This window comes from Homo sapiens, chromosome 11 (assembly GCF_000001405.40).
Source record: "Homo sapiens chromosome 11, GRCh38.p14 Primary Assembly".
In the NCBI taxonomy this organism is placed as follows: Eukaryota; Metazoa; Chordata; class Mammalia; order Primates; family Hominidae; genus Homo; species Homo sapiens.
Genome location: NC_000011.10, coordinates 44633236 through 44643314, shown reverse-complemented (window position 1 = coordinate 44643314; position 10079 = coordinate 44633236). Strand labels below are relative to the sequence as shown.

Genomic DNA, 10079 nt, shown 5'->3' with positions numbered 1-10079 from the left:
TCTTTATCAGTGATTTCAAATAACTTAATTATAATGGTGGCTTAGTGTCATTTTTTTTCGTATTTTCTGTGTATATTTATATAATCACATTTGGAAAAATTGTGGTCATTATTTCTTCAGATATTTTTTAGCCTCCCTTCCTTCCTTTGAAGACTCCAGTTGCACATCTATTAGGCTGCTTGAAGTTGTTCCCACATCTCCCTGATACTATACTCATGGTTTTTAATTTTTTTGGTCCCTTCTCTAGCCATGTTTCTTTTGGTTAATTTCTATTGCAATGACTTCAAGTTCACTTGTAGTGTTTAATCTGCCATTAATCCCAGAATATTTTTTTTATCTCAAGTGTTGTAGTTTTTATCTATCTCCCTGGTCAATTTTAGTTGAATGGTATACATTATGAATTGTATCGTGTTAGATGTTGCATATTTGAGTATTCCTATAACTATTCTTGAGCATTGTTTGGAATTCAGTAAAGATACTTGGAAACAGATGGATTCTTGTAGGTCTTGCTTTTAAACTTTATTAGATGGGACCAGAGAAACATTAAGTCTAGGGCTAATTTTCCCTCAAAACTGAGACAACTCTTTTGAGTATTCCACCCATGATTCATAAATTATGACATTTAAAAAATCCTGGCTGGTGCTAACAAGAACTATCCCCAGGCCTGTGCGAGCTCTAATCTTGTCTAGTGGTTTTATACCCCCAGACTTGGGTATGTTCCTCACATGCATGCATTAATCAGTACTCATTTGAATATTCAAGGAGGATCTCCTACCTCCAGAATTCTCTCTCTGTACAGCTCTCTCTTTTCCAGGACTCTTCCCTGTGAACTTGACTTTTTGGCCTCTTATAACTCCCAGTTCCATTACCTTAACTCAGGAAGCTGACAGGCTCCCCCAGGACTCCTCTTCCCTGTGTTATGGCCTGTAAACTCTCTATACAGTAAGTTGGAGACCATTAAAAATGTTCTAAAATTGTTGGTTGCACAAATCTGTGAATATACTAAAAACCATTGAATTGTACACTTTAAATTGGTGAATTGTGTGGTATATGAATTATATCTCAATAAAGCTGATATTTTAAAAAATATATAGGCCAGGCACAGTGGCTTATACTTTTAGTCCCACCACTTTGAGAAGCTGAGGTGGGAGGATCACTTGAGTCCAGGAGTTCAAGACCAGCCTGGGAAACATAGTGGAGCTGCTGTTTGTACAAAAAATAAAATAAATAAAAACAGAAATATATAAGCATGTAGTCTCAATGATAAAATAACTAGCTTAGAGCTGGAATTTAATTTTTAATTTTGTCTGAAAAATTTATCTTTTAGTCAGAACACTGAGTCCATTTATATTTCTTGTGATTACTGATATATTTGGGTGTATTTCCACCATCTTATTTTGTGGTATGTGTACAGCTTTTTCAGTTTTTTTCTCTTTCTTGCCTCATTTTGAATTAAAAGAATTTGATCCTCACTGAAAAACATACAGTATGAACAACTAAAAGTAATGTTATTCACTAATGCCTAAAACCCAGCATTCAAAATGTCTGTCTGTTTTTAGATGAGCTTTGCCTTCTTTATGGGACTCTACCCATAAGTACATCTCCTCTGTGATCTGCTTATCTGGTCAGTCATGATCAGGTCTAGTTTTGTATATGTGTTTAGTTCCATTTCCCCCTCTACTAGTCGAGCAGTTTTATTTTCTCTGTACAGTCATGTGCCACTTAACGATGGGGATACATTCTGAGAAATTTGTCATTAGGTGATTTTGTCATTGTACAAGCATCATAGATTATACTTAAACACAAACTGGATGGTATAGCCTACTACATACTAAAGCTATATGGTATAGCTCATAGCTCCTAGGCTACAAACCTGTACAGCATATTACCGTACTGAATACTGCAGGCAATTGCAACACAGTGATAAGCATTTGTATATCTAAACATACCTAAACGTAGGAAATATAATGCATTGTGCTACAATGTTATGATGGCTGATGCTTACGATATCACTAGGTGATTGGAATTTTTCAGCCCCACTACAATCTTACGGGATCTCCATTGTTTATGAAGTCTGTCATTAACCAAAACATCATTATGTGAAACATGGCTGTATATCCTTATTACTTAACAAGATAAAGTCAATATAATTTTACTCTCTTTCCAAACAATACAAAGATCTCATAACACTTTAATTCCATTTACTCTCCTTCCACCTACCAGCTACTATTGTCCAATATTTTAGTTTTATTTTGAGAAATCAGCTCCCCACAACCAGACATTATATCTCTTGTACATGCAGTCATTATGTTTTGAATTTAACCACACATGAATCATTATCTTTGCCCACCATTCTTTCTTGCATCTCAGAATTTCCAACTCTCAGATATTTTTCTTTCTGTCTAGAGTACATTTTTAAAAAAGCTTTATTGAGATATGGTTTGTATACCACAGAATTCGTCCATTTAAATTGTGGAGTTCAATGATTTTTAATATATTCACAGAGTTTTGCAACCACCACCACAATCAACTTTAGGACATTTCCATCATCCCAACAAGAAACTTTATAACCCTTGGTAGCCACTCCTCATTTTTCCTCAAATCTCCCAGCCCTAGGCAACCACGAATCTACTTTCTGTCTCTGTAGATTTCCCTATTTTTGACATTTCGCATAAATAGAATCATACAATATGTGGTCTTTTGTGGCTGGCTTCTTTCACTTAGCATAATGTTTTCAAAATTCATTGTGTTACAGCATGTACTCCATTTTTTTTTGTTCTGAAATAATATTCCAATGTATGAATATACCACATTTTACATACGCATTCATCCCCCAAAGTTACATTTAGGTTTTTTGCACTTTTTGGCTGTTATGAATAATGCTCCTATGAGCATTTGTGTGTAAATTTTTATGTAGATGTATGTTTTCAGTTTTCTTGGGTATATATCTAGGAGTGAAATTGCTGGGTCCTATGATAACTCCATGTCTAATATTTTGAAGAATTGTTGAACCTCTTTCTAAGGTGGCTGCACCATCTTACCTTCCCACCAGCAATGTGTGAGGGTTTCTGTTCCTCCACAGCCTTGCCAACACTTGGTATTTTCTTTTTCTTTTTCTTTTTTTTTTATTTCCCTCCTTGTGTGTGTGAAGTAGTATTTCATTGTAGTTTTGATTTGCATTTTCCTGCTGATTAAAGATATTAAGCCTGTTTTCATGTGCTTATAGGCCATTTGCATATATTCTTTTTTTGTTTGTTTCTTGAGACAGAGTTTCGCTCTTGTTGCTCAGGCTAGAGTGCAGTGGGACGATCTTGGCTCACTGCAACCTCCGCCTCCCGGGTTTAAGCAATTCTCTTGCCTCAGCCTCCTGAGTAGCTGGGATTACAGGTGTCCACCACTGCACCCGGATAATTTTTGTATTTTTAGTAGAGACGGGGTTTCACCATCTTGGCCAGGCTGGTCTCGAACTCCTGACCTTGTGATCCACCGGCCTCGGCCTCCCAAAGTGCTGGGATTACATGCGTGAGCCACCATGCCTGGCCTATTTGCATATATTCTTTGGAGAAATGTCTATTCAAGTCCTTTGCCTATTTTTCAAATAGATTATTATTTGTCCTTTTAATATTGAGTTGTAAGAGTTCCTTATATATTCTGGGTACTAGTCCTTTATCAGATATATGATCTCCACATATATTCTCCCATTCTATATTTGTCTTTTCACTTTCTTCATGATATCTTTTAAAGCACAATGCTTTAACCTTAAATAAAGTCCAATTTATCTATTTTTTTCTTTTGTTGCCTGTGCTTTTGACATCATGTCTAAGAAGGTTTTGCGTAATCCTAGGTCACTAAGTTTAAACCTATGTTCCTAAGTTTTGTTATAAGAGTTTTATAGTTTTAGCTCTTTCATTTAGGTTTATGATCCATTGTAAGTTAATTTTAGTGCATGGTGTAAGGAAAGAATCCAACTTCATCCTTTTGCATATGGATATCCAGTTGTTCTAGTGCCATTTGTTGAAAAGAATATGTTTTCCCATTGAATTGTCTTGGCATCCACCCTTTTTCATAATGTATGATTTTATTTCTGGATTCTCAATTCTCTTCCATTGATCCCTATGTCAATCTTTTTGCCAGGACTACAGTCTTAATTACTTCAGCTTTGTAGTAAGTTTTAAAATCAGGAAGTGTGAGTCCTCCAACTTTGTTCTTTTTCAAGTCTGTTTTATCTATTCTTGGTCCTTTATATTTCCATATAAATTTTAGGATCAGCTCATCAATTTCTGTAAAACAGCCAGCTGGGATTTTGATAGGGGTGGCACTGAATCTGTAAATCAATTTGGGGTGCATTTCCATCTTAATAATATTAAATTTTCCAGTCCATGAACAGAAGCAATCTTTCCATTTATTTAGGTTTCCTTTAATTTATTTCAATCATATTTTACAGTTTTAAGGGTGCAAGTGTTGCTCTTCTTTTGTTAAATGTATTCTTTAGTTTTTAAAATTATTTTTAATGCTATTGTAAGTGGAAATGTTTTTCTTAAATCCATTTTTCTCAGATTATATGTTGCTAATGTATAGAAATACAATTATCTGTATACATTGATTGTGTATCCAGCAACCTTGCTAAATTTGTTTATTAGTCTAATAGTTCTTTAGTTGATTCTTTACCATTTTCTATAGAGAGGAACATATCATCTGCAAATAAAGATAGTTTTACTTCTTTAATTTTTTTCTTGCCTAATTTCCTGGCTACAATCTCCAGTACAATGTTAAATAGAATTGGTGATAGCAGACATCCTTATCTGTTCTTGACCTTAGGAAGAATATTCTTTAGACTATCCTTTAGTGAGGTCCATTGTGGTAAACTCAGTGTTTTCTTTTTTTTTCCCTTTTGAGACAGGGTCTCAATCTGTCACTCAGGCTGGAGCGCAGTGATGATTTCCCCACCTCAGTGTCTCAAGTAGCAGGGACTACAGGCATGAGCCACCACACCCAGATAATTTTTGTATTTTTTTGTAGAGACGGCGGGGGGGGTCTCATCATGTTGCTTGGGCTGGTATCAAACTCCTGAGCTCAAGCAATCCGCCCGCCTCTGCCTCCGGAAGTGCTGGAATTACAGGCATGAGCCACCATGCCCGGCCCCTCCCAGTTATATTACATCTTTGTTCTTGAAATGTGGATTCACCAGATACAGAATTCTAGGTCAACAACTATTTTATTTCAGCAATATAAATTTAAAATACACTAAAAATATTATTCTACTGTCTTCTGAATTGAATTGTTGCTGCTGAGAAGTCAGCCACCTGTCTAAAGGCTGTTTCATGTGTGGTTTTTTTTTTTTGGGGGGGGTCCAGCTGGCTGCTTTTATGATCTTTTTCTTTAAAGTATAATTTCTCTTTAATTGACATATAATAAGTGTACATATTTATGGAGAACAATGTGATGTTGTGATACATGTAAACATTGTGTGATGATCAAATCAGGGTAATTAACAAATCCATCACCATTTATCATTTCTTTGTGGTGAGAACATTCAAAATCCTCTCTTCTAGCTATTTTGAAATATACAATACGTTATTGTTAACTATAGTCACCCTATTGTGCAACAGAACACTAGAACTTACTTCTCCTAACTGTAACTTTGTACCCATTGACCAATCTCTTCTCATTCATCCCTCCTCCCTACCCTCCCCAGCCTCTAATAACCACTATTCTACTCTACTTCTATGAGATCAACTTTTTTAGAGTTCACTTATGGATGACAACCTCTCTTTCTTAATTCTGCTGCTTCACTTTAACGTGTATAGTGGTGGATTTCCTTTTATTTTTAGTGTTTAGAAATTACTGAGTTTTCTGGGTCTAAGGTTGGATGTCTTTTGACAATTCTTAAAAACTGTCAGTTACCATCTCTTCAAATATTGCCTCTTCCCCATACTTTCCCTCTTCTCTTTCTAGTATTCTGACTGAACATGTCAGATCTCTATCCTCCACATCTTTTACTTTTCTTTTCTACTTTCCAACTCTTTTTCACTTTGAACTATATTCAGGATAATTTCTGCAGTTTCGCCTTATATTTTACTAATTCTGTCTCCACAGGTATGTACTCTTATTTGACCATACATACTTTGAATTCTGCCATTTCAATGACTGTATTTCCCAGTTCTAGAAGTTTCATTTGGCAGGGTGTGATGGCTCATGCCTGTAATCCCAGCACTTTGGGAGGCTGAGGCAGGTGGATCACCTGCGGTCAGGAATTCGAGACTAGCCTGGCCAACATGGTGAAACGCCATCTCTGCTAAAAATACAAAAAATTAGCCAGGCCTGGTGGCAGGCGCCTGTAATCCCAGCTACTCAGGAGGCTGAGGCTGGAGAATCATTTGAGCCCTGGAGGCAGAGGTTGCAGTGAGCCAAGATAGGGCCATTGCACTCCAGCCTGGACAACAAAAGCGAAACTCCATCTGAAAAAAATAAATAAATAAAAGTTTCATTTGATTAATTTCCAAATCCATTTTGTTGTACAAGCTCTGGTTACTTGTTCATATTTTCAAGCTTCTCTTATTTTTGAAACATCCTATATTTTGCATCCAATTTCAATGTCACACGTCTTTTCTGGTCTGATTCTCCTGTCTGTTGTTTATGCTGACTCTCATTCCTGGTATTTCATTTCTTTGTGTGTTTTATAATTTTTCTATTGAGACCTCTTATTTCCTGGAACATTATCTGTAGGAGTCTTTACAATTACATCCCTCCAGAGAGAGTTTATATTTGATCCTGCACATCATGTTTGAGCATTACCAACCTGGGACTACATGAAACTGAAATCTCTACTGGAAGTTTACTGATGCACATAGGTAGCACCAATTCAGGTGCAAAGGCACATCAGGGCTGGCTTATGCTTCTGCATTCTCATTGTAGACATTTTTCCTCTTCCACAGGATGTCATGCTTAAGATGGATACATTTCCTTGCTTCCCCTCTGTGCAGTGGAGTTACTTATGCTTTTTTTTTTTTTTTTTTTTAGGTGGTGTTTCGCTCTTGTCACCCAGGCTGGAGTGCAATGGCTTGATCTCGACTCTCTGCAAACTCCACCTCCCGGGCTCAAGCAATTCTCCTGCCTCAGCCTCCCGAATAGCTGGAATTACAGGCGTGTACCACCACCACACCCAGCTAATTTTTTTTTTTTGTATATTTATTAGAGACGGGGTTTCACTATGTTGATCAGGCTGGTCTCGAACTCCTGACTTCAGGTGATCCACCCACCTCAGCCTCCCAAAGTGCTGGGATTACAGGTGTGAGCCACCACACCCGGCTGGAGTTATTTATTCTTTACCCTTACACTAGGAATTGAGTTCTGTAAGATCCCAATTTCATGAGGAATTCTCTTATAGACCCTCCACCTTGAGCAAGCCACATAACTCTTACTACTATTATGTGATTTTTGGTGGTGGTGATGTGTGTAGGTGTGGGTTTTGTGAAGCACCTGGCAAGACTAATGTTCTGAGGGACACCCTTGAAGTGTTGGTTCATTGGCACCTGCTGGGGCAGCCCAGGTGATCTTCCAGAGATCAGACAGAGATCTTGGGCAGGGCAGATTACAGCAGACCCTGCTGCCTTCTGATCTCCCTGGAGGAATGGGAGGAAGGCTTTCCTCCTCCCAATGCCAAGCCAACCAACCTTCAGCATTCTGAATTCTGGGGCTCCAGACCCCAGGTGCTGGGGGATAGAGATTGATGGCCTGGTTGTATTTCAAGGTTGTTCCTGAATAAAACCTCCATTCAGGTATTTATTTGGGAAGAAGAGAGAAGAGCCAGTGCTGGGAGTTGGGATTGCGCCTTTGGCCACAATGAGGAGGAAAAATCGCTGCAATCAAAGTGAGGAGGAGTGCTTAGAATTTCCACGGGCAGCAAGGTCCAAGGCCCACTCCCACGTGGCCCCCCACACCGCGGGATGGCTGCTGTGATCCCAGGAAATGGGTGTTGACCTCACAGCTTGACAGCATTGGTGAAAAGTCCTTGTCTTTCAGCTAACCCTGACAGCAAAGGACCAGCCATTTAGTTTTGAAATGGACCTTGAGGAATTCGGAGTGAACACCCCACAGGCAACCGAGATGGACTGAAGGTCCCCTTGTAAGTGGAGCAGGGGCTTGCGGTGCATGGTGTCTTTGAAGCCTCACACCCGCTCACTCGCCCCCGGAGGCAGGTCCTATTATCATCCGAGATGAAGCTGAAAGAGATAAAGTCCCTTGTCCAGGGCCACCCTGCTGGTGAGGGGAAGAGCCTCAGTGTGCATTGGGGTACGTCTGGCTGGGTCTCCAGGACTATAACTGCTCGAGCTGAGCAGCCTCCAGCTGGGGAAGCATCAGACCAGATCCCACCCACCAGGAAGCCTGGGGTGGGGGGAGGATCTTCATGTTGGTCCCAGGGCACAGCCCCTCCCCCACCCAGGATGTGTCATTCTCACAGGGGCAGCCAGGGGTGAAGGGTAAGCCGGCCGGGGGCGGGGTGGGACCAGGGAGGGTGACGTCACCGCCGGGCTTAGTAATGCTTTGGCAGAGCCTGAAGCTCCCACCTTGGGAGGGAGGGGAAGGAGGAGGGGCATCGCTGGAGCCAGCATCCAGGAGGCTGCCAAGTCGGTGATCAGGGACGGGCACCCTGCCAGGAGCACCCCAGACCAGGCCTCCTGGGAAGGGGGGGACTCTGGGAGAGGAGAGACACTCTTGGTGTGCTGGGAGGGGACCCTGCAAAGCGGTGTCTGTATCAGATTGAGTGCAGAGTGATCCTCGGACTGTCTGTCCATCTGACTGGCAAGGCTGGCGGCCAGCCATCCCCTGATCAATGCCCAACTGTCTGACCGCCTGACCGTTGAGTCCCGTCACTGGCAGATGGACTGCCTGACTGATTTACATGACTGATGCTTGGAGGAGCCATGAAGGATGGGCCAAATCTCTGTCCACATCCGTGAGACCCTGGGCTACCCTCTGAACCTGATGCCACCTCTTATAAACACCCAGGGTCAAGCGAAAGAAGAGAGAAAATTAGCATCTACTGAGGTTTATCAAATACCCAGCCTTGGGCCAGATGCTGGAGGGACACAGCCAAATCTGACAGGGACCCGCCCTCAGGAGCCCACATTCTAGTAGGGGAGACAGAGTCACAGCCGTAATGACAGAAACCAGTGCATTAGATAAGCAAAATCAGGCGAAAGGGAAAACAGCTTTATTCTTGTCACCCAACATTTTTATTTTTTATTTTTTTTTACTTTTTATGATTCCTTCTCCGGTGGAAGTTCATCCCCCCATTCCTGGATGAAAACTCGGGCAGCCCCACAAGTTTTCTGCCCCCGGTTAGGTGATAAAAATTCTTAGGTCACTTTAAATTGCAAATACAGAGTCAGGTTGGCATTAAAAGTGTCTGGTCCGAGGTAGTAACTGCATCTTTGAACTTGGTTCAAAGCTAACCCTTCTTTCTGCCCTTGCTGCCCTCTGCAGGCAGCAAGCTGGAGAAGGGGCTTGGACCTACTTTGCCCCTGCACATGCCCTTGCTCCATGCCCCTCTTCCCGCATGTTGCTACAGACTGAGCACCCCTAATTCAAAAATTCAAAATCTGAAATGCTCCAAAATTCAAAACTTTTTGAGTACCCATGGCATGACACTACGAGTGTAGAATATTCCACCTAACCTCTGCTTTCTGATGGTTCAATATGCACAAACTTGGTTTCATGCACAAAGTTATTTCAAATAGTGTAGAAATTACCTCCAGACTATGTGTGGAAGATGCATATGAAACATAAATAAATTTTGTGTTTAAGGCTTGGGTCCCATTCCCAAGATATCCTATCATGTATCTGTAAATATTCCCAAATCCAAAAATATCCCAGATCTTGTCCGGGCACGGCGGCTAATGCCTGTAATCCCAGCACTTCGGGAAGCTGAGGTGGGTGGATCACTTGAGGCTAGGAGTTCGAGATCAGCCTGGCCAACATGGTGAAACCCCATCTTTACTAAAAAACACAAAAATTAGCCGAGCGTGATGGCGTATGCCTGTAATCCCAGCTACTTGGGAGGCTGAGGCTGGAGAATC

The 10079-nt window shown here is 40.8% G+C and overlaps 1 annotated feature.

Moving 5' to 3' along the window:
- Positions 7407–8195: an enhancer, noted in NCBI's record as "H3K4me1 hESC enhancer chr11:44656670-44657458 (GRCh37/hg19 assembly coordinates)". NCBI's record gives its function as "activates a minimal SCP1, AML or CMV promoter by ChIP-STARR-seq in naive and primed H9 embryonic stem cells {active_cell/tissue: H9 hESC(naive and primed)}" and the evidence as "EXISTENCE:reporter gene assay evidence [ECO:0000049][PMID:30033119]".